General features: G+C 34.9%; 1 protein-coding gene and 1 pseudogene across 3 annotated transcripts; one reads left to right on the top strand and one right to left on the bottom strand.

Moving 5' to 3' along the window:
• Positions 1 to 5,147: 5,147 nt before the first annotated feature.
• OR4Q3 (olfactory receptor family 4 subfamily Q member 3) lies at positions 5,148 to 13,911 on the bottom strand (the record flags this gene model as incomplete). Of its 3 annotated transcripts, XM_024449618.1 has the most annotated exons (4): positions 12,668 to 12,742; positions 11,056 to 11,147; positions 9,146 to 10,076; positions 5,148 to 5,156 (listed from the first exon to the last, which is right to left on the bottom strand). In XM_024449618.1, coding segments are annotated over exons 1-4 (1,107 nt in total), but the record flags the coding sequence as incomplete, so codon positions are not given. The 3 variants fall into 3 exon arrangements, with proteins under 3 accessions (XP_024305386.1, NP_001392892.1, NP_751944.1); NM_001405963.1 differs by lacking the exons at positions 5,148 to 5,156; positions 11,056 to 11,147; positions 12,668 to 12,742 and adding an exon at positions 13,811 to 13,911 and having other exon boundaries at positions 8,013 to 10,076; NM_172194.1 differs by lacking the exons at positions 5,148 to 5,156; positions 11,056 to 11,147; positions 12,668 to 12,742 and having other exon boundaries at positions 9,113 to 10,054.
• OR11K2P (olfactory receptor family 11 subfamily K member 2 pseudogene) lies at positions 23,190 to 24,137 on the top strand (annotated as a pseudogene).

The following is a 26,141-nucleotide window of genomic DNA, read 5'->3' as shown; positions in this document are numbered from 1 at the left end:
ATAATGGGTCTTCAGGATCTATTTTCCTAACTACTATGCATATCCTGGGTCTGATGGCATCAGAGCCACCAAATATCTTTCTCATTTGAAAGCCTTAAACCTTCTACAATAATCAAAAGACTCCTTTTCTTCTAATCATGAAAAGTTTTTTTTAAATTATAGACACTATTTAGAGACAAAGACTATAGCTGCAACTGGCAAGATCATCACAGCATAGAGTCTGTGCCAACTTTTCTCAAATTAAATTTACAGTGGGGATGTAATAACAAGTGATGTGATACTGATCATCAATTCAGTCATTATTTGATTTGGCAAGTATTGTCAATCAAGTGGAGGAGGTCCACATGTAAACTGTGACAGTTCTCTGTGAAAGGGCTCAGGAAGGAAGACCAGGAGAGACAGGACTGCCTTTTCAAACGTTGTCACTGAGTGGAATTCTGATAGATGAGTTAGAGTTAACCTGATGATGATGAGGATTGCAGGGTGTGGGCACAAAAGAATAGACAGGGCAGGAAGAACTTTCCAGGCCTAGCAAATAGAATATGTGAAGGTAAAAATCATTACACCATCCTCTTTGGGGAGTGCCAGCAAGTTGAATATGATTCAGCACAGAACCCACATAGGAAAGTGTCAGGAGATGAGGCTGAAAAGAAGGCAAGTCTAGATTACAGAGGCTCGTGTGTTAAGCTTAAAAGTTAGCAATTGAATTAATTGGGGTGCCATAAAGAAAGATCCAGTCACAGGAGGAGAGTAGCTGCGATGGAAGGTGGGGGAGAGAAGTTGTGAAAAAGAAGATGCCTGGAACCCCAACTTGTCTACGTTCAAATTTCGGCTTCACCATTTGCTAACTTTATGACTTTAGGCAAGTTACTTCACTTCCCTTTGCCTCAGTTTTCCCAAGTGTAAAACGTGGATAAGAATAGTACATTTATATAGAGTGTTATACATATTAAATATATATTACATATAAAGCACTTATGTGCATAACATACTTTAAGTGAATATATAATTATCATTATCCATCTTAGCTATCAGAGAAAATGTTGATTGGAAGGAGAGACAGAAGCCTGGATAGGAGTCATCTTAGAACACTAACCTCCTTACTATGTTAATCTCCTGATTCTCACCTATATGTATGCTCATGCTTGTCCAAATCTTAGACTGTATCTACTGCTCACACCTACCCTCTCAAATATACTCCTTTGACTGGAGCAGCAACAGAGTACATTCTATGTCCTTGCATAGACGTATTAAAGAGTTCAAGCATGGATGCCCAAAGATGTTTGGGTAGCTGCTCTATTCACCCTGAGTGGTGACAACTCAACTTTATCTAGACTCCTCCTGAGGAGTTCATCAAATTAATCAAAGTCTAGGACCCAAGATCTTTTTGCTATCTTTGCTGGGAGAAACAGCACAGGATTTAAAGATAGAACAACTCACAGCTCTGCCTCTTCAGGCTGTGTAACATTAAAATATTTTTTCTAACATCTATTAACCTCCCCTGTGAGATAATGCTACCCATGGTAAGACTCAAATTAGATAATGGACAAAAAAGCAATAAACAATCTGCCAAACTAACTCTTGATCATTTTGGGGGTAGAATTTCAGGAACACCAGTATTAGACATCTGAACTCTATGAACCAGAGCCTCTATGGGGTGGATTGTTTCTACTGGTCTACCCAGGTTCTTAGGTTAAACTCGATCTCTCTAAGACAATGCTAAAGAATATATATTAGTTGATATAGGATTTGTGTAGTTAAAGAAAAATGTTTCCTCCTTTGTTTAACTCCATGAGCCTACATAAATTATTTCCAATAGAACAATTTCAAAGAATGCAACTCTTGGAATCTTCTGGGAAAGAGATTGTCTTAGTTCCTCTCATGAGGGATTTACAAAGGGCAGCCATATACTATTCTGGATCTCTTTCCTCACAGCAAGTTCTATCTCACGGAAAACTTTTCGTGCAATAGTGTTCTTGACTTCAATATCCCTCATAGAGACATTGTCACACATGTGCATGTTTTTATGTCTCTTGTTACCTGACATTACTTTATTACTTATTAATCCTATCCTGTTCCTCTAATTGGCCCCAACTGAGGAAACAATTACTAGTCTTGTGGAGCTGAAAGATAAGGAAAAAATATTGAAAAAAATCTGCAAATGAGTTAGCATAGCACAATGTATAGATTGCTTAAAGTATCATCTATTTGATTTATATTTCATAAGCACCAATATTAATGTATCCTTTCACTTAATATTTACTAAACATATTATCTGTGTCTGGTACTGCACTGTGAATACAAAAAGAGGAGTGTGACCCAATACCTGACATAAAACCATTTATTTTAGAGCAGCAGTTTTAAATGAGCTCCCTAAATCATCTTAGACTGAAGCATAATTTATGTTAAGTCCTATACTTATCTATGTGTAAAGGATTTTAAAGATTGTTTGATCTTTTCACACTCATCTAACCATTGGGAAACAAATAAGGTACAGAGAGGGAATTAAATTATATAAGTTTACTGATGGTGGTAAACCTAGTAAACCTAGGAGTAAATTCCAATTGAAATTATATTGATACACACGTTAAATTGTAATATACTATTTCTTAAATTAATTACTAGAACAGATGTTGTAAAGCAGGTGAAGAATTTACAGAAGTAAATAATTTACCTTTGAATATAATTTGAATCAATGAAAATTGACCTTGCCTCTTTCACTGGTGGTTAAGGTATCATTCTAGATGGAAAGCTTACCCTGGACTTTTTCTTGAGTGTGGTCCCACTGCATGGATTTGAACAATCCGAGATCTTGGATCAGAAAAGCCTTTGAAATAAAAATGTGATTGATACCAAGATACGCACACTAAAAGACTGAGATTTATATAATGATACTTCTTTTATATACATGCCACATTTCCTCTTGTACAGCCTAAAAAGCGGTCTTGAGTTTGTTTTCTCTTTCTCTCTCTTCTTTCTCTCTCTCTCTCTCTCTCCCTCAGAAAGATAGTATTTTATGAGATTACAACCATGCCATAGCTTCTAACCTTGGTATGCAAAAGATTTCTACGTTCCTGGCTGCCAAGGGGAAGAAACTCTCAGCAATCTTTATGCATCATCAAAACCCTGAGGGAAATGCTGGACAAGTGATTGGGTAAGCAGCTGGAGAATATGATTAGGCAGAGAAAGTGCAAGTGTAGTCTCTACTAAATAACTCCTTGTAAAACCATGCTGAAAGCTGGCTGAAAATAAGACTTTTAATTAGAGTATTGAAAGTGAAAAGTTGGTCAATAATTCCAGCAGAAGTAGCAGCATGTTCAGAGACATAGAAATATGAGGAAGCTGCACATGGTTCAGAGGTTCAAACAGTGGAACAGGACTGGACAGAAATTGGAATTAGTATTGATAATTGATCTTAGAACAAGTTTTTCTACTAGAACAAGGCCTAAGGTGTAGAGTGGTGTTGTAGTATGAGAAATCTTAGTTATTATCCTAGATTTTCTTATCACCATGCAGACCCTACACGCCTACAGAATCTCATATGTGTACCAGAATCTGAGGTAGGATAGAACATGCAAACAAGAAAGTATAGGTTTGATGAAATAAGAGGGAGAGACTGGTAGGGTTAGGATGTATATGCTAATGGACTCAACTGAGCCATTTTACTATGTAGACATATTTATTTCAAAACATCATGTTGTACATGACAAATATATAAAAGTTTTACATGTCAAATAAATAAATAAGAAACCATGCACAGATGTGAACAGAGTGGGGGGGAGTCAATGTTCACTTAAAGAGATAAAAACTAGAACTGCACTTTATTTATGTTATAGATTTCACCATTTCCTCTAAGTAATGGAAGCTCACCAGGTATTTTCAAGTATTTATTTACAGAGTAATTACAAAGAGCTTTTTGGGAACATAAAGAACATAACGGCAATAAATTAAATAGCTGCCATGAAAAAATAGACAACTTGAGTAAGCCATTTCATTAAGGAAGAACTAATGAAATCTGAATTAAAGTTGCAATGTAGTTAGTAATAATGCATCAATATTAGTTTATTTGTTTGACAAATGTACCATAGTAATATAACAATAAGGAAAATAGCATGAGGTATAATTATATTCTGTGATATTCGACATTTCTGTAAATCTATAAACATTCCAAATTTTAAAAATTATTGAATTTAAAAATGATTTTATAAAATCTTTGAAAGCATGTTATAAGCCAGAAATTTTGGGAGGGCCTATAAACATCAGCTTTATTCGTTCCCTTTCATTCTTTTTTTAATTTCAACTTTTATTTTAGATACGGAGGGTACATGTGCAGGTTTGTTACGTGGGTTTATTGCACCAAGGTAGTAAGTATAGTACCCAACAGGTAGTTTCCCAACCCATCCCCTCCACCCTTCCTCACACCTCTCGTAGTCCGCAGTGTCTATTGTTCCCATGTACATGTCCATGTGTGCTTAATGTTTAGCTCCCACTGGTAAGTGAGAACATGTAGTATTTGGATTTCTGTTCTTGCATTAATTTGCTTAGGATTATTGCCTGAAGCTTCATTCATGTTGCTGCAAAAGACATGATTTCATTCTTTTTTTTGGTTGCATAGTATCTGATAGTATGTACCATATTTTCTTTATCTAGTCTACCATTTATGGGCACCTAGGTTGATTCTGTCTTTGCCGAATAGTGCTGAGAAGAACATACAAGTGTATGTGTCTTTTTGGTCTTTTTGGCATAATCTATTTGGCATAATCTATTATATATACATAAAATATTATATATATATACAGTGAGAGAGAGAGAGAGAAATAGGATTGCTGGATCAAATAGTAGCTTTGTTCTAAGTGATTTGAGAAGTCTCCAAAGTTCTGCCCACAGGGGCTGAACTAATTTACATTCCCAACAACTCTGTACAAGCACTCCCTTTTTTCTACAGGCTCACCAGCATCTGTTGTTTTTGGACTTTTTCAGAGTAGCCACTATGATTGGCATGAGATGGTATCTCATTGTGGTTTTGGTATGAATTTCTCTGATGATTAGTGATGATAAGCATTTTTTCATATGTTTGTTGGCTGCTTGTATGTCTTTTTATTCAGAAGGATCTATTCATGTCCTTTTCCAGTTATTAATAAGGCTATTTGTTTTTTGTCTGTTGTATTATTTAAGTTCTATTTACATTTGGGATATTAGACCTTTGTCAGATGCATAGTTTGCAAATATTTTCTCCCATTCGGTAAGTTGTCTGTTTCCCCTCTTGATAGTTTCTTTTTCTGTACAGAAGCACTTTCATTTACCTAGGTCCCACTTGTCAATTTTTGGTTTTGTTGCAATTTCTTTGGGGGACTTAGCTAATTTTTTTCCCAAGGCCAATGTCAAGAAAAATATGTCCTAGATTTTGGTCTAGGATTTTCATAGTTTGTGGTCTTATATTTAAATCTTTAATCTATCCTGTTAATTTTCTTATATGCTGAAAAGCAAGGGTCTAGCTTCATCTTCCTGCACTTTGCACCTCAAGGAATTAGAAACCAAAGGACAAACCAACTCCAGAGCTAGCAGAAGAAAAGAAATAACAAAAATTAGAGAACAACTTAATGAAATTGAGGTGCAAAAATCTATACAAAAGGTCAATGAAACCAAGAGTTAGTCTTTTGAAAAAATAAGATTGTTAGACTGCTAGTTAGATTAAAAAATAAAAAAAAAGATCCAAATGAGTACAGTCAAAAAGGACAAAAATGACATTACAACTGATCCCACAGAAATACGAAAGATCCTCAGAGAATACTATGAACAACTCTATGCACACAAATTAGAAAATCTGGAAGAAACTGATAAATTCCTGGAACAACACAATCTTCTAAGATTGAATTAGGAAGAGATTGTAATCCTTAATAAGTCAATATCAAGCTCTGAAATTGAATCAGTAATTTAAAAAAAAAAAACTCTACTAACCAAAAAAAGCCCAGGACCAGAGGGATTCACAGTTGAATTCTACCAGACATATAAAGAAGAAATGGTACCAATCCTACTGAAACTATTCCCAAAAAAATAAAAAAGGAAGGGCTCCTCCCTAACTCATTCTATGAAGCTAGCATCAGCTTAATACCAAAATCTGGCAGAGACAAAACAAAGAAAGAAAACATCAGGCCAATATCCTGATGAACATAGATGCAAAAATCCTCAACACAATACTAGCAAACCAAATTCAGCGGCACATCAATAAGTTAATTCACCACGATCAAGTAGGCTTTGTTCCTGGAAACAAACAGAGACTTGAAAATGCAAAAGGGAATATAAAAAGCTCTTGCTTTTCTTAAAATAATGCTACCAATTCCAGCTATCAACTGGACATTTAAAATGATTTGCCAAGACTATACATTTTGCTATGAAAGAGAACATCAGAAAAAAGGGATGTTGCAGCTGGCTTATACCAAGAGAAAGCCTGGAGCTCTATGTCCTTGAAACATGCCTGGTAATCCCTAGCACCACTCAAATCTTTCTGTAACTCACGCAGTACTCTTGGGCAGTTTCCTGCACTTCAGGATATCCAACATATTATCTTCGGGATATCATACTGCTCTTCAGGATATTCATCGTATGCAAAAAACCCTGAAAATGTTGAGTAGAGTGAAGCTAAAGAGAAGAACATGATGTTCCAGGTATGTCATTCTCACCCTCACCCACACTATTTAGAAATCTCCCAAATGGCAGCCTAGTTCCTAGTCTGTGAGGAGTCCTTCTATAGCAATATATACATATACACATACATATATATGGCTTCTTAAATATAAAGTCATTAACTCCCAACACAAAAATAAAAATACATATTTTGTCCCTATATCAAGAAAGCTCTTACACGACCAGGGTTATTGCAATTTTCCAGTATATCCTAGTATTAGATGGAGTTTCAGACATTTTTTTCACAGGTATATTTTTCAGCTAAGTAATCATAAAAGCCTCTCTATGGCAATTCATTAGGAGATAAAGTGACAAAATATAAAAAACATTGTAAAAGTTTGTCATTATCTTATTATATAGTAAATAGAATAAACACATTTTCATAGCCATAAAATATTGCAAGGATCCTATGTCAGAGATGGATAATCTTAAATATAAATGCTTAAGTTAACCTTTTTAGGGATTTTCCAGCTCTGAAGCTCCTATACAGGTATTATAGAAATTAAGTAATCTGGCCGGGTGTCGTGGCTCATGCCTGTAATCCCAGCACTTTGAGAGGCTGAGGCAGGCAGATCACCTGAGGTCAGGAGTTCAAGACCAGTCTGGCCAACATGGAGAAACCCCGTCTTTACTAAAAATACAAAAATTAGCCAGGCATGGTGGCCAGCACCTGTAATCCCAGCTACTTGGGAGGCTGAGGCAAGAGGATCACTTGAACCTGGGAGGCGGAGGTTGCAGTGAGCCAAGATTGTGCCACTGCACTCCAGCCTGGGAGACAAGAGTGAGACTCTGTCTCAAAAAAAAAAGAAGAAGAAAGAAAGAAAGAGAGAAAGAGAGAGAAAGAAAAAGAGAAAAAAGAAGAAAGAGAGAGAGAAAGAAAGAAAGAAAAAAGAAAGAAAGAAAGAAAGAAAGAAAGAAAGAAAGAAAGAAAGAAAGAAAGAAAGAAAGAAGTAATCTGTATAATTGGGATAAATACTCTAAGAAATAGAGAGAAAGAGAGAGAAAGAAAGAAAGAGAAAGAAAAAGAGAAAAAGAGAGAAAGAAGAAAGAGAGAGAGAAAGAAAGAAAAAGAAAGAAAGAAGCAATCTGTATAATTGGGATAAATACTCTTTCTGAGGAGAAATAAAATATTAACTTAATTATATAATTATTAGCTTGCTTTCTTTTTTTTTTTTTTTTTTTTTTTTTTTTTTGCTTTGAGACCGAGTTTTGCTTTTGTTGCCCAGGCTGGAGTGCAGTGGTGCGATGTCAGCTCACTGCAACCTGTGCCTCCTGGGTTCAAGTGATTCTCCTGCCTCAGCCTTCCTGAGTAGCTGGGATTACAGGCATGCAACACCACGTCCGGCTAATTTTGTATTTTTAGTAGAGACGGGGTTTCTCCATATTGCTCAAGCTGGTCTCAAACTCCTGACTTCAGATGATCTGCCTGCCCTGGCCTCCCAAAGTGCTGGGATTACAAAGAGCTTTCTTGATTGATTGCATTTCTTCTAAGTGGTCATGGGCAAGTCACTTAACTCTGAGTTCATTCTCAAAAATGAAGTTAAGTAAATTTATTCCTCAAAGCATGTTTGAGACTCAGAGGTAATAACTGTGAGCATCTCAAAAATGAGTGCTTTCAATCACAGTTCATTTCTTCCTCTGTTCCTTTAGAGGTTAAAACTCTTAAACATTATGGTCAGTTGAAGAGCCAGCTTATCTATTCACCCCCACTGTAATTCCAATCAAAGAAAAACTCAGTGTGAAACTAGGTACCTCTTCTTGAGAAGCCTCTACAACAGAATACTAACAGCTTCCATCACCCCTGCACTCCTGGACTTCCTTTCTCTCACGCATAAACTTTGTTAAGAGCATATGTTCATTAGACTGATGCCTGACTACATTTCTAAAACTTGGGACACTGTGGAACACAGTTCTGAGGTAAATACTACACATAGGTGGTTGTTACTGTTCTCAGGCTTTGTTATAACAGAACAAAGAAATTCACACTACTTCAGAAAAGGATCTGATGAGACATCAGAAGGAACTTCCTAACACTAGGAATCATTAAATGCTGGAGGAACTGAACACAAAAAGAGATATATCTTCTTTCATTTGAATAGATTAAAAAGTGGAAAAAATTGAATAAATGAACAGTACTTAGAGACATAAAGATAGAAAAGTTGATCTTTCAATTAATGCTTGTTATCGTTTGTGGCCAGTAAATTCTACTGAGTTCCTGAGTTCTCTTGATTATGGTCAAAAGGCATAGGTGGCTTTCTAGAGTGCCACCTATGCTTTTAAATTGTAATCAAGAGTGATCCATTATAATCTTTATGCTATCTCCTCTTTTATACCAACGTCATCAAAGTGGTTTTTACCCATGTACAAGATGAGTTAAGAGTCTTCCAAGAAAGAGTGTGTTTTTCAAATCACCTCTTCTGCTCATTCCTTAACAAGGCAATGGAATGCCACATGGTTTTATCCTCAGCTTCTTCATAGCTGTCTTCATATCAGTATTTCTGAGTGTGTAGATGAGGGGGTTCAACATAGGTGTAATCACTGTGTAAAACAAGGAGAATATCTTATCCACAGAGAAGCTGCAGAAAGGCCTCAAATAGATGAATACGCATGGCACGAAGATCAGGCTGACCACTGTCAGGTGAGAAGCACAGGTAGAGAAGACCTTGTTCTGGCCCTGGCAGAAGTGTGTTCTCAGGGTGATCAGGATGATAGCATAAGAGAATAGTAAGACCAAGAAGCAGACAAGAGACAGCAGACCACTGTTGGCTATCACCAGCACCTCTACCACATAGGTGTCCATGCAGGCCAGCTTGATGACTTGTGGGACATCACAGTAGAAGTTGTCCAGTTCATTGGGCCCACAGAAAGGCAGCTGGATGACTAGTATGACCTGCATGATAGAGTGGATAAAACCCCCACACCAGCAGGCAAGAACCAACCAAAGGCATAGCTGGGGGTTCATGACTGTAAGGTAGCGCAAAGGGTTACAGATGGCAACATACCTGTCATAGGCCATGACTGTCAGCAAAAACATCTCACTGGCTCCTAGAAAGTGGAGGAAGTAGATCTGGGCCAGGCATCCTGAAAAAGAGATGCTCTTGCCCTGCTGTAGGAAATCCCCTAACATCTTTGGCACAGTAACACAGCTCAGGCATAGGTCAATGAAAGAGAGATGACCTAAAAAATAATACATAGGAGATTGGAGCAGGTGAGCATGGGCTTGCACTGTTACCACTATCAAGAGGTTTCCCAGGACAATAGCAATGTAAAAAAACAAAAATAGTAAGAAGAGAAATAGCTGCAGCTCCCAAGAAGATGATAGGCCCAGAAGAACAAATTCTGTCACATTAGAATCTTGTTCTTTTTTCATCAAGCCAAGAATATCAAGTGACCTAAAGAAGAATTAAATCAGAACAAGGGAGATTTAAGGTAGATATATATGTGTACACTATATACATATAGTATATAATATATAAATTACATAAAAATTATTTTAGCAAGTTTTATCGGGTAATATAGGCAGTACACTCTTATATTGATAGAATGAGGAATTTTGTTCATTTCTTCCAACTCTTTATTCCTGTAGTGCTTTTAAATTGCATTCACAATAAACAAGAAAGAAACACAATGACGTGGACATTAGGTGATAAGTGCTAATCTTTCCATTTCTTTTAATAGACAGAATAATGTCCTCTAAGGACAAAAGTTCTGGAATGGAGTATCTAGATTGAATGCCTAGCTCCACCATTATCAATGGAGTACTCTCAGGCAAGAAAATAAACCTCTCTGAATTTTATTCCTTGGTTATTCAATTTAATGCACAGTTAATAATATCTCCCAAGATTGTTTTGAGAATCAAATGTAATGCCTATGTGCACCATAAAAAAAACTAAATCTCTCAAGATGAGGAAATATCTTACTCATCTTTGTATCCGCAACACAATACTTACTGCATAGCAGAAGCTCAATAATTTATCAAATCGAAGGAAGAATGTTTTGTAAACAACAAATTGCTATGTTGTACAAAGGTTAGTAGTTACTATGAATAAATATATTAGGAAACAAATCATTTAGGAAGGATTGAAACAGAGCTCATATTTTTTGTCTTTACTATCCCAGGTCACAGAAATTAGGAAGTTTGTAAAAATGAGGTAAGAAGCAATAGTCTCAATCTTTAAGATTTAGGGAAGCGTCAGACTCGGGATGAGTAGGATAATGATTAAAAGACACTAATCACCAAGAGAAGAGACCAAGAGCCATGACCCATATCACGGAGGCATGCACAAAAGCCCACCATGACCCTTTACAGGACAGAGTAATAAGAGAAACCAGAGTTGTGTTGCTTCTGGACTTTTCAACAACCATAGATACATAAGAAAATAAAGAAGATTTGCTAAGATATTGTTAGATCCATTTTCCCCTGCTCTACACTCATATTCATCCCCAACATTTGATGACAGTACCTTGGATTACAAACAGAAAATCAGAGAACATTGATACATTTCTTCCATTGAAGTAGTTAAAAATTAGTAGATGCCTGTCTAGAATATTTTTTTATCTAAAACCAGCTATAGACAAAATATGAAATAAGACAAAATTTTATTTTGTGTCCCAAGCTTTGTAATCCATGTTGCACTGGGTTCTATCAAGTCATTCAGAGAATGTTATCCAATAAAATCCTTCATACTAGATATCAGGTATTTACATAGACAATGCAGAAAAGTACTTAAATTCTAAAAATGAAAACCTCTAATGACAACAAAACTTTCTCTAGGATGTTATTCCAAGATAAGCCAGTGAGAGAGAGATTTGGGACTCAAGCCACCTTTGGATGCCTCTGTCACACCATGATTGTGACCATCCTCTTCATCTGCCTATATAGCCGAGTGCACAGGTGTATCTAAATCTATAATCTCATAACTGATAGAAGGAATCACCTCACTTTCTAGAGTCAATTGGAAAATAAAACAAAGAAAGAAATACAAGTTAGGGAACGATTTGCTGTTACATGTACAGCCTCACTTGAGCTCTGCTATATTGAAAATTCTCTAATCTTTTTTGGATGCACCAAGGATTGTAAATTTCCATAAGAAAATCTCATTTTGATGTTCTTTTCAGTTATCTAAAATGTATAATTAACAGGGGTCAAGTCTCATTAAAATTATTGATCTAATTTTTAAAATAATCTTGGGAAAACTGGAAAAGTCTGAGAAAGAGAAACCAAAGTTATTTTTTTAATTAAAAAAGGTTTCTAGAAGCCAGAAAACAATGGGAACACATAATCCTACACAATGTTATAATTTAGTCTCAGAATATGGCTGAGAAACAAAGTGATTATTTCCTAATGTGAAGGCATAGTATACCAAAGGTGTATGGTACACTTGTTTTTTCCACCGAACATATGCTGAGAAAGAAAAGATTATACTAAAACAGACAATATTAAAATTAAATAAATCAGAAGGATAGATTAAATAAGGGAAGAATATGTAAAATATATTTTAACCCAAATTACTACAAACTATTTATAAGCCTGAGTTTATTGCCTACTTGTTTAAAGTAAGATTTAATATTAGGAAATTTCAGTACTATAAATATTCTGGACAGTTCCTAGGTGATTACTCTGATAAGATTTGGATTAATAATGATATAAAAATCTTTACAATCACATAAGATAAAAATAGGCAGCCCTGTATGTCAGTTATTTGAGTTTTAATCAAGGTAAGGGCTGGATTCTGGTTATTCTTGGATTTTTTTAATGACAATAAATTTGCAATCCTCAGACAATATGAAACATAATACTAAACAATATAGAAAGCTCCCTTTTAGGTTTAGTAACATTTCCACATTTGGTAGAGTCATCTCCCAGCTTCTGTGTTTCTGAAGTCTGATCACAATAAGAAATTAAGCCTGTGACTGTTCCGTGAAGAATGAAAAGAACAATACACCCATCAACATGAAGGAATGTCTACACCCCAAAACTAACCCCAGTCACAACATAATTTCCCTTGCCAAAGCCCTGCAGGGCTTGGAAAGCCACATTCAAAAACACCAGCTTCATTATCCCATTAGCAGTAAGATGAGACCTTATCAAGCATTTCATGTTTCATATCCTAAAAATAACCTAAGAATGTGAAAAAGTCAATAAAAATATTTTTAAGTACACAAAATGAGCCAAAAAAATTGAGAATGCTTAATGCAAAATGAAAGTCTTCATGGAAGGGTCCTGCTTGGAGAGAAGAGGACAAACCAAAACACCTTAAATATCAAAGGCTACTTGTGTACAGCTAAGCAGCTGGTCTCTCTTCTTTCTAAACAGGGAACCGGAGATGTTTATGAGGAAAATATGAAGAAAAGGAGTAAAATTTTTCTCCTGGTACTTGTGCATGTGTGTGTTTTAAGCATAACAGTATACCATATTTTGCTATTATGTTTGTCTTGTATTTATTTTGGTCTGTGTGGAGCTAAATGCATTATTAGAGGAGGAAATTTGACTACCTCAACAATAGAAAATGATTGGCTAGCTGGAGTTTCAATTGCATATGAATTCCTTTTAGACACATTTGATGCATTTTTAAATTTCTCCTGAAAACCAAGAAGTGGACACACCATTAGTTGAAGATGGTACCTACAGTGGTATTCTCTATTGAGAAAGAAACAATCTTTCTGCTCTAAACTTCTTTGGCCTTGTTTGAAACATTGCATTCTATATTGTACCTGTGGAACATAAAGAGGATTTTAGTAAAAAGAAACTTTAATAATTAAAGAAATGGAAAACAGAATCTAGAAGGGACTATAGCAGAATTAGGTAGTCTTAAGAAAATATTGCCATGAAACCCATGCCTTCCATTATGTGAATTTGGGCCTATCTTATCCAAATATTGCAACTGTCTTCTAAGATGCCACTAGCCCTAGAATTCCTTGATGCTATAGGAATTTCACTGTTCTGTGAATGTTTCTAAGAGTAAATTTAAAACAAAAAACTCAAATGATCTCTTAAATTTAAAAATGATCAATGCCAGAGTATATAGAGAAAAAGAGTGAGGACAACAGTAAACATAAAAATAGCATCAAACAGAGGAGCAGGAAGGGGAGGGGAGTTTTGAATAAACATATCTGAGAAACCTACATCTTTGCTTGTCAGAAGCTATGTGGTTTCAAGGAAGGAAGATTTTATCCTGCCATTCATCCTATCAACCCTCTCTTCAGCCTCAGGCCAGCAAAATGGGCTATCCTCAGATGATCATCGCAGCTGCCCAGCACATGTCTTAACTGCTTCCTTATAAGCCAAGCCCTAGTTGAGGGCTGGCTGTATGAACTGGAAATATCTCCTATCCCTAGGACTCTAGCTGTATCAGGTTTCTGTGGTTCTTACAACACTACTTAGCTTAATGAGCCCTGGGATTCCCTAGGCTGCTGCTGTTTGAGTTGTGTTAAATTTAGTTCTTGCTAGGAAGTTGACCTTTGGACCTGCAGGCTCTGAAGCAATTAGACATGTTGCATATCAGAACCCACTTATTTTACTTACTTTGGATTGATTAATTTGTAATTTGTCATTGATTTATTTGTATATGCCATCCATTTTCCATGCCTCAGTCTGTATCTGAAGAAGACTCTCACTGGTTTTTATCTCAATCATGCTCCTTGAAGTAGCAGAAGCTGAAGGATAAATACCAAGCTAAGGTATTTATCTCTGGGATAATTCCAGGGATAGCTTGGTATTTATCCTTTAAGGTAATATAGAGTCTTGATACAACACCTGATTTCTTGAAACCTCAAGCAGCTTACCTACTGGCATTTATTCATGGATCGTATCCAGAAAACACATCTGTTGTCATTAGTAATTTAATTTTCTATAGACTGTCAAAGTCTATTTTTTAAATATCATAAAACATAATTCTCAAACAAATACATAATGAATGCATCAAAAACTGTATTTAACTAATTAATGAGGGATAGCAAGATAACAAAGTCCATTCCAAAAAGAATATGAAAAGTGTGATTTTACATAATCAGAGCAAAAAATGAACACTAAAATAAAATTGTTAAATTTGATGTAATCCAGTTAATGTCTCATGACACAGATTTACCTATATAACAAACCTGCATGTGTACCTCTGAACTTAAAAGTTAAAAAATATCAACATCACAAAAATATTCATATTCTTTCATACAGCTCTAAAAAGGGGCAATACGACCTTAATCTTTGGGATTATCTTTTCTACCACGCTAAAAAGATACAATGTAGCAGTTTTCTATAACATCTAGCTATATGTAATTATACAATGTCTGAGATTCCATAATTCATATATAGTAAGTTAAACAAAATCACATTTGCTAGAGAGTCAGATGACCCTTAGCTGGGCTTGCTAAACAATTTTTTTTGTTTTGTTATTTTTTATTTCTGTGGGTACATAGTGGGTGTATATATTTATAGAGTATGAGATATTTGGGTACAGGCATATAATACATAATAATCACATCATGGTAAATGGGGTATTCGTCCCCTCAAGCATTTATCTTTTGTGTTACAAACAATCCAATTATATTCTTTTGGTTATTTTTAAATGACAATTAAATCATTATTGACTATATTCACCCTGTTGTGCTATCAAATACTAAATATTATTTATTCTTTTTTTTTTTTTACCCATAACTATCCCCATTTTTCCCCATACCACACCTCCACCATCCTTCTCAGTTTTTGGTAACCATCATTCTACTCTTTATCTGCATGATTCGATCGTTTTAATTTTCAGTTCCCACAAATAAGTGAGAATATGGGAAGTTTGTCTATCTGTGCCTGGCTTATTTCACTTAACACAGTAATCCCCATTTCCGTCCATGTTGTTGCAAATGATCTCATTCTTTTTATGGCTGAATAGTACTCTATTGTATATGTATGTACCACATTTTCATTATTCATTCATCTATTGATGGAAACTTAGGTTGTTTCCAAATCTTGGCTATTGTGAACAAAGCTAAAACAAACATGAGAATGCAGATAACTCTTTGTTATACCGCTATTTTTTCTTTTGGGTCTACGTCTGGCAATGAGGTTGCAGGATCATAAAGTAGCTCTACATTTAGTTTTTGGGGGAATCTCCAAACTGTTTTCCATAGTGGTTGTACTAATTCACATTCCCACCAACAAAGTATGAGAGTTCCCTCTTCTCCTCTTCCTCACCAGCATTTGTTATTGCCTGTGTTTGGATAAAAGCCATTTTAAATGGGGTGAGATGATATCTCATTGTAGCTGTGAGGTACATTTCTCTGATGATCAATGTGTTGAGCACCTTTTTATATATCTGTTTGCTATTTGTATTGTCTTTTGAGAAATCGCTATTCTGATCCTTTGCCCATTTTTAAATTAGATTATTAGGTTGTTTTCCTATAGAGTTGTTTCCTGGTTATTAATCCCTCGTCAGATGGGCAGTTTGCAAATATTTTCTCCCATTCTGTGGGTTGAATCTTCACATTGTTGATTGTTTTTCCTTGGATGTGCAGAAGCTTTTTAACTGGATGTGATCCCACTTGTCCGTTTTTGCTTTGGTGGCCTGTGTTCGTGGAGTATTGCTCAAGAAATCTTTGCCCAGACCAATGTCTAAGAGAGTTTCCCCCAATGTTTCCTTTTAGTAGTTTAATTTTTTGAGGTCTTAGATTTAAACCTTTAATCCATTTTAATTTGATTTTTGTATATGCCAAGAGATAGGGGTCTTGTTTCATTCTTCTGCATATGGATATCCAGTTTTCCCAGCACCATTTATTGAAGAGACTGTTCTTTCCCCAATGTATGTTCTTGGCACTTTTGTAGAAAATGAGTTCACTATTGATATACGGATTTGCTTCTGGGTTCTGTATTCTGTTCCATTGACCTATGGGTCTGTTTTTTATGCCAGTACCATGTTCTTTTGGTTACCATAGCTTTATAGTGTAGTTTAAAGTCAGGTAATGTGATTCATCCAGTTTTGGTTTATTTGTTCAGGATAGCTCTGGGTATTCTGGGTCATTTGGTTATATCAATTTTAGGATTGATTTTTCTATTTCTGTGAAGAATGGCATTGGTATTTTGATAGAGATTGAATCTGTAGATTGCTTTTGGTAGCATAACATTTTAACAATGACTGTTTCAATTCATGAACATGGAATATCTTTCCATTTCTTTGTGTCTTCTTTAGTTTCTTTCATCAATGTTTTATAGTTTTCATTGTAGTGATTTTCACTTTTTTGGTTAATTCCTAGGTATTTAATTTTATTTGTAGCTATCGTAAATGGGATTACTTTCTTGATTTGTTTTTCAGACAGTTCACTGTTGACATATGGAGATGCTACTGACTTTTATATGTTGATTTTGTAACCTGCAACTTTACTAAATTTGTTTATCAGTTCTAATAGTGTTTTGGTGGAGTTTTTAGGTCTTTCCTAATATAAGATCACATCATCTGCAAACAAGGATAATTTGACTTCTTCCTTTCCAATTTGGATGCCTTTTATTTCTTTCTCTTGTCTGACTGCTTTAGCTAGGACTTCTAGTACTATAGTCAATAAAGTGGTAAAAGTTGGCATTCTTGTTGTGCTCCAGATTTTAAAGGTTTTCAGTTTCTCTCCATTCATCAAAATTCTATCTGTGGGTCTGTCATATATGGCTTTTATTATGTTGCAGTTTGCTCCTTCTATACCCAGTTTTTTAGAATTTTTATGATGAATGGATGTTGAACTTTATCAAATTTTTCAGCATCAGTTGAAATGATCATATGGTTATTCTGCTTCATACTGTTGATTGTTTATCATATTGATTGATTTGCATATACTGAACCATTCTTGCCTCCCTGGGATAAATCCTACTTTGTATGTTGTCATTTATTTGTGGGAGCTAAAAATTAAAACAATTGAACTCATGGAGATATAGAGTAGAAGGAAAGTTACCAGAAACTGAGAAAGATAGTGGTTAGGGGGATGGGAGGGCAGGTAGGGATGGTTAATGGGCACAAAAAGTAGTTAGAAAGAATGAATAAAATCTAGTATTTAATAGCACAAGAGGATGACTATTGTCAATCATAATTTAATTGTACATTTTAAAGTAACTAAAAGAATGTAATTGAATTGCTTGTAACCCAAAGGATAAAAATGCTTGAGGGGAATGGATACCCCATTTACCATTATGTGATTATTATGCATGGCATGCCTGTATCTAAGTATCTCATGTACTCAATAAATATATGCACCTACCACATACATACCAAAGTTTAACATAAATTTAAAAAAAAGAAAAGGCCAGGCATGGTGGCTCACACCTGTAATGTCAGCACTTTGGGAGGCCGAGGCAGGTGGATCAACTGAGGTCAGGAGTTCAAGACCAGCCTGGTCAACATGATGAAACACTGTCTCTACTAATAATACAAAAAAAAAAATAGCTGGGCATGGTGGTGGGCACCTGTAATCTCAGCTACTTGGGAGGCTGAGGCAGAAGAATCACTTGAACCCAGGAGGCGGAGGTTGCAATGAGCTGAGATGGCACCATTGCACTCCAGCTTGAGCAACAAGAGTGAAACTCTGTCAGAAAAAAAGAAAGAAAGAAAGAAAGAAAGAAAGAAAAAGAAAGAAAGAAAGAAAAGAAGGGAAGGGAAAGAGAGAGAGAAAGAAAGAAAGAAAAAAGAAAAGAAAGAAAGAAAAAAGAAATGAAAGAAAGAAAGAAAGGAAGGAAGGAAGGAAGGAAGGAAGGAAGGAAGGAAGGAAGGAAAGAGAAATTACAAGGCAATAACATGATCATAGATGCAAAAATTCTTAACAAAATACTAGCAAACTGAATCCAACAACACATTAAAAAGACAGTTTGCCACACCCAAGTGGGTTTTATTCCAGGAATTCAAGGGTTATTCAGTATAAATGAATCAAAAAGTTTGATACATTACACTAATAGAATAAAAGACAAAAAGTATATGATCATTTCAATAGATGCAAAAAAAAAGCATCTGATAAAATTTATCATTGCTTCATGATAAAAATTAAACACATTTAGGCATAGAAGGAGCATACCTCAACATAATAAAGGCCATATATCAGAAACTCACAGTGAAAATCATACTGACATACGACAAACAGAAAATCCTTCTTCTAAGAACTGAAAAAAGACAAGGATTCTCACTTTCACAACACCTATTTAATATAGTACTGGAAGTTTTGGCCAGAGAATCAGCAAGAGAAAGAAATAAAAGGCATTTGAATTGGGAAAGAAGAAGTCAAATTGTTTCTCATTGCAGATGACATGATCTTATATAGAGAAAAACATAAAAACATTATCAAGACAACTCTTAGAAGTGATAAGTGAATTCAGTAAGGTTGCAGAATACAAAATCAGCATACAAAAATCAGCAGCACTTTTATGTGGTAATAATCAACTGTCTGAAAAGAATTCAAGATAACAATCTTATTTATGATAGCTCCAAAATAAAAAAATATAATTCTTAAGAATTAATTTAACCAAGGATGTGGAAGATATCTACAATGAAGCCATAAAACATTTATGAAAAAATTTGAAGACAGAAATAAATGGAAAGATAATCCTGCATTCGTGGATTCAAATAATTAATATTGTTAAAATGTTCACACTACCCAAAACAAGCTATGGATTTATCAAAATAACAATGACATCCTTCAGAGAAATAGAAAAAACAATCCTAAAATACGTATGGAAACTACAAAAGACCTGGAATAGCCAAAGCAGTCTTGACCCAAAAGAACAAAGTTGGAGGCATCATACTACCTGACCTCAAAGTATACTGTAAAGTTATAGTAACCAAAACAGCATGATACTGGCATAAAAACAGATGCATAAACCAATGGAATAGAATACAGAGCCCAGAAACAAATCCGCAGGTGATACACAGTCACCTAATATTTTGACGAAGCTGCCAAGAACACACAATGGGGAAAGGACAGTCTTTTCAACAAATGGTATTGGGAAAACTGGGTATCTATATGCAGAAGAATGAACTTATACCCTTACTTCATACCATATACAAAAAATCAACTAAAAATAGTTTAAACACTGAAACATAAGACCTAAAGCTGTAAAACTACTAGAAAGGAAAACATAAGGGAAAAACTACACAACATTGATGTAGGCAAAAGCTAAGGCAAGAAAAACAAAAATAGACAAATGAGGTTACATCAAAATAAAAAGCTTCTTAATCCAGTCTATCATTGTTGGACATTTGGGTTGGTTCCAAGTCTTTGCTATTGTGAATAGAGCCGCAATAAACATACGTGTGCATGTGTCTTTATAGCAGCATGATTTATAGTCATTTGGGTATATACCCAGTATTGGGATGGCTGGGTCAAATGGTATTTCTAGTTCTAGATCCCTGAGGAATTGCCACACTGACTTCCACAATGGTTGAACTAGTTTACAGTCCCACCAACATGGATGAAATTGGAAACCATCATTCTCAGTAAACTATCGCAAGAACAAAAAACCAAACACCGCATATTCTCACTCATAGGTGGGAATTGAACAATGAGATCACATGGACACAGGAAGGGGAATATCACACTCTGGGGACTGTGGTGGGGTCGGGGGATGGGGGAGGGATAGCATTGGGAGATATACCTAATGCTAGATGACACGTTAGTGGGTGCAGCGCACCAGCATGGCACATGTATACATATGTAACTAACCTGCACAATGTGCACATGTACCCTAAAACTTAAAGTATAATTAAAAAAAAAATTAAAAAAAAATAAATAAAAATAAAATAAAAATTTTGGAATTCATGTTCATAAAAGTTAATAATAGCTAAAAAAAATAAAAATAAAATTGTATTTGAAAAAAAAATGAAAAAAAATAAAAAGCTTCTGCTCAAAAGAAACAACAGAACCAAAAATGACCTACAGAATAGGAGGAAATTTTTGCAAATTATACATCTGATAAGGGGTTAATATTCAAAATATATAAGGAACTCAAGCAACTCAATAGCAAAAAACAACACAACCACCAAATAATTCAATTTAAAAGTGGGCAAAAAACCTGACTAGATATTTTTTAAAATATGATGTGCAAATGACCAAAAAGCATATGAAAAAATCCTCAGCATCACTGATCATCAGGTAAATGCAAATCAAACCACAATGAGATAGCACCTCAGCCCAATCGGAATGTTCATGATCAAACAGACAAAAGATGGCAATAGTTAGTGAGAATGCAGAGAAAAGGGAACGTTTATACACTGTTGGTGGTAATGTAAATTTGTACAGTCATTATGAAAAACCATATGGAGGTTCCTCAAAAAATTAAAAATATATATAGTATATGTTTAAGTATACAGTAGGCATTCAGTAAATATTTGTGGAATAACTAAATGCCAATTAAATTTCTTGTGCTCTACATAAAATTCAACTCAAATATCTCTAATAACTCTGCAGGTACAAATATTTGATGACCAGAGAATGATTTCTTTTTCTTCAAAATAGATCTAGAGAGTATTATGGTAAAGCTTACCACTGTAGCTTAAATGACAATCCCTTTTACTACTTAATTATTCCTCAGGAAGCTTTGACAATACATGAACACGAAAGAAAAAAGAAAAGATAAGATCTGCTTCTACATTTTCACTATTCTTTAGGGGATAGTAAGAACTGGCTTTTGACTGTGAAAATTCAAATTGTTATCTTCTTTTAAACAAACACTATCAAAATATCCCAAGAGAGACAGAGCTCCAAGTCCCAAAAGGGTATGATGCAAGTAAATAGATATATATATAATACACTCACTTGAGCTTGCATTTTGACCATTAATATATGCTTTGAAGGTGGGGAAAATCTTTTAGGGTTTACTTTTTGCAACCCATGAGAGATAACAAACAGGATCATGCAATTTCTTGGAAGTTCTTCACATGTCTTTGGCTCTGTGGAATAATATTTTGTCTCCTGTCCCTGACCTTCTCAGCATTCACTCAAAGAGTGAGTGGGAAGTATATAACATGTAAGTCACCCAGTTTTTTTGCAAAAATCATAGAAAATGTTTTTTTCTTGTCTCTGAGAAAACTAAAAATGTATCTCAGAATGAAATGCTGGCAAAGAATGAAGCTGAAAAATATAAGTTTTTCTTCTTGTTTCCCTGAATTCTGGAAAATATTTTTCAATTATGGTTCATATCCCTTTAAAACATGAATCGCCATATAGACAAAAAGAATAGTATTTCAAGTGAAGATGTACATTAACTGATGAATTACTGGAGAAGGGTATATTTTGGTAATTTTTGTTATTTGGTGAGCAGAAGAAATATGGCATATTTCTCTCTCCAGCAATATTTTCTTTCTCAAGCCCAAATACTGATTTTCAGTTCCATTACATTAATAAGACTTGGTATTATACAAATTAGTTATTATTTAAGAAACAAAAATCTTCAGCTCATATGACTTTTTTTTGTTTTTGTTGTTATTTGGGCTAGAAGTTAAGCAGAGAGTAATGAAGGGAAAAGTTTCATGTTTCACATTTGCCTAGATAGGAAAGGCCTCAGAGAACAACCGCAGTGAGATGCAAAATAACACCAAAGGTCAAAGGAAGAAAAGGAACATGTGGAAGAAAGCAGTGAATAAAAAACATGGAAACTTTTGTAATATAAATTCTATCTGCCTTTCTTATTTTCCTGCAGCTGACTTGACCATGGTTAACAAATAACAAGCACATTGAACTTGGCCACAGTCATGCAGACCAGCTGTTCTCCCTAAGGTCAATGTCATAATGGGCATATGAAGTTCATACATTCACCCGGAAGCATATAAAAATATTTAGTCAGAGCAATTTAAGAGACAAAGTATGGCACACTTCCTCATATCATATAGTGTATGCAGCTGCCTAAAAATAAAAGAATGTATTTTTTATGCTAAACATTGGTACAGATACATGAAACAGCATAAAAGACCATATATCCTCTAATGACAGAGTTCTTTCTTATTTCCACTTTAAAACACTACAAGTAACCTGGAGTAGCTGAAATTGAAAGTAAATATGAATTTGTGCCTTGGCATGGCACTATATTGAGAAAGAGTATTTTTAAATATCTTGGTTTTGTATTTTATTTTTATATCACTAATAAATAATAATGAATCATGTATTCATAGTACTGTTGAAAGAATTACATACCCAGATAAATATAGTATCAATAATGCAGGTAAACAGAAGAAAGAATAGACTCATTGTGTATAGGTAATTTATTGGAATCACAAAAGTTTGCATTCTTGGTTTCAAGTCTAGTGTTCTTAGCAAGAAAAAAAACTCTCCACAATTCATATTTTCCCTCCTTTCTATTGTTGTGATTTATCAAAATAAATATATGTAGGAATTGAGTCATGAAAGTCACAGTATTGTTGTTTAAGCAAAAGTCTAACTGTTTACTACTTTATAATATACATGATAAAGAATTTTGGTTGTTTCCAAGAAGAAACAGCATGCTCCATTTCATGTTTCAATTACCTCTGCCATCTCCATGTCTTCCAGACTAATGAATATGTCCAGCATGGAAACGATTAATTTTGTTAGCTACTTTATCCTCATGGGCTTTCCCTCAAGCCCAGAAATGCAGCTCCTCTACTTTGGTCTCTTCTCATTAGCCTATACTCTCACCCTGATGGGAAATGCATCCATTGTCTGTGCTGTGTGGTGGGACCAGCACCTTCACACTCCCATGTACACCCTCTTGGGAAATTTCTCTCTCCTGGAAATATGTTATGTTATTACAACTGTTCCTAAACTGCTGGCCAACTTCCTCTCCACAAGCAAGTCCATCTCATTCATGAGTTGTTTTGCACAGTTCTACTTCTTCTTATCTTTGGGGTATGATGAGGGCTTCTTCCTTTGCATCATGGCCTTTGACAGGTATCTTGCCATCTGCCGCCCTCTACGTTATCCATGCATTATGAATAAGCAAGTATGCACTGGCCTTATCATCTTTGCATGGTCATGTGTCTTTGTAATCTTCCTAATTCTGTTGATTCTCATTTCACAGATATCCTACTGTGGCCCAAATATTATCAACCATTTTGTTTGTGATCCTGTACCATTGGTGATGCTGTCCTGTTCTGCAGACATAATCATCACCTAGCTCATTTACTCCACATTCAATTCTATCTTCATGATTGGCACCTTTCTCTTTATCCTTTGTTCCTATGCTCTGGTGATTCTGGCTGTAATACAGATGCCTTCAGAGGCTGGCAAACGAAAGGCTTTCTCCACTTGTGCCTCTCATTTGGCAGTTGTCACCTTGTTTTATGGCTCTATCATGGTGATGTATGTTAGTCCTGGATCAGCACACCCAGTAAAAATGCAAAAAATCATTACCTTGTTCTATTCTGTGATAACACCACTCTGTAATCCTCTAATATATAGTCTCAGGAGCAAAGAGATGAAAGATTCTCTGAGGAAAATCTTCAGGACTGGAAAAGATGTTAATAAAATATAAATAAGAGACAATTTTCATTTATCAAATGTAACTTTATTATACATGAATATTTGTCTACAAATTTATTGTTTTATTTAACAACTGCTATAATAATGAGCCATTAACATCTTAAATACCACTCACCACAATCTGCATTACTGTGGTCTTATTTAAGTATGTTTCAACAGTGAACTAGATTTTCTGTTGAAGTGAATAATAAGTATGTAAAATCAGAACCTGTATATGTAATTCAACTTTTCAAAAAGAATACAGACATCCTTTTTGTATTACTGAGCTAAAGCAATTGATAACACATGTGACAGATATCATAGACTGCTCTCACAATTAACACTATAATCCAATCATTATCCACTAGGAGATACTGGCTGAAAAAGAGCCAAGTTTTAAGAAGTCCAGCTTGTCAAAATGTAGCAAGTGGTCTTTACATTATGTAAATAGACTAATAGCCTTAGTTTGATATTCAGTGTTTTTTCAGAGAGTACACAACCAAGAATTAGGAATTTAAAGCAGATTTGTTACCTGGAATATAGTGCAGCAAAGACCTAAACAAAAAGGTGAGCATTACTCAGGATATAGCTTGCTTTGTTGTAAACCCACTTTAAACACAGGATTTGATATCATAACTAATTTAGTATTAATACTGTGTGACTTATTTGAGTACTGCTGGACAGTACTAAAACAAAACTCTTAAAATCCATTTTATAAAATATTTGACTAATATCTTGCTTTAATTTTGACTTTTGTTCTATGCCATTTTTTCAAATACAACTCTCAAAAACTTAATAAAAAGGAATCACAATATGAAATGTAGTTTACAGAATTTTAATTTGTAAGACTTCATAGCTATTTGCTCCACAAAATGAGGTGCTACTGCAATTAGTTTTTGTGTCACAAGGAAGCTGAGTTGAGAATATTTTCTGGGTTTGAAAGGAAGGATTTATGTGAGTTCTGGGGAAAAGAGTGGTTGTTTTATTATACTTCGCATGTGAAATGTAAATTAAGTAGCTAAATACTTGCCTGAAAAACTCTTTTATATAGGAAGAAAATACAAACAATTTAGAACTTCGTTCAAACTGACTTCAACGGTGGGCTCTCTTTAAAGTGCTGATAAATTTAGCACTGAGTTTCACCTGTCCATGCCAGTTTTGTTTATATTTCTTAATTATATGAGAAAAAATGATAGAAATTCTTAATAAAATATAATCTCAACTGTTATAAATGTGCACAGTGCCCATATTTGTAATTATCTTCAAGTTGATCATTAACCAATCTTATCTTACCAATATTAAATTCTATCTCATATTGAGCTTGCTGGCACTTGATAGAAAGAATTGAAAACTATTTGATACAGTAAAAAGCATTTCCGTAAGATACAAACATGCCTTCATTGTGACAATATCTCTTCCTCAGTTCATACCTATGGCTTCATGGTATTTCACACAACCAGCTAATAAAGGAAGAAACAGCCTCAGGCTTGGCTCACAAATGGATTGTCTGAATCTACACTTAGACAAGATAAAAACTGACTAATGCTGCAGCTTAACGCCTCTCCAGGGTAGCCATAGAATGTAGTGGTGGAGGAAATCCTCATAAACCAATGATTTGGTAGCAATATACTTAGTTGTCCACTTTGAATGTTGGGAAAAATAGCTTGCTATGCAAGATAAGGATATGTGTAGAATAATGATTGTTGTAAAAAAACTTCACTAAGCAAAGCCCCCCCAAAATACAGAAAAATCAGATTTAATGAAATTTGAGGTGGAGGCCTATGTATGGGCCTATGAGAATAAGCACAAAGTATGCAGATCTTTGTTTCTCAACTCTGTGCCCATTAGAGAGTATCCTCCAGAGTGGAGGCACTCAATACCTAGGTGAAAAGAATAAGTCATCTAAAAATGTCAGTCAGCTCTGATTTCATTCACCTCAGAGCTTATAAAAGGGAATACAAAGAAAGTTGTATAAATGGAAAATATCCACAAGCCAAAAAATACAGGCATTATCT

This window comes from Homo sapiens, chromosome 14 (genome assembly GCF_000001405.40).
Source record: "Homo sapiens chromosome 14, GRCh38.p14 Primary Assembly".
In the NCBI taxonomy this organism is placed as follows: Eukaryota; Metazoa; Chordata; class Mammalia; order Primates; family Hominidae; genus Homo; species Homo sapiens.
Note: the sequence above shows the minus strand (reverse complement) of the source record. Positions and strands in the feature narration are given on the sequence as shown.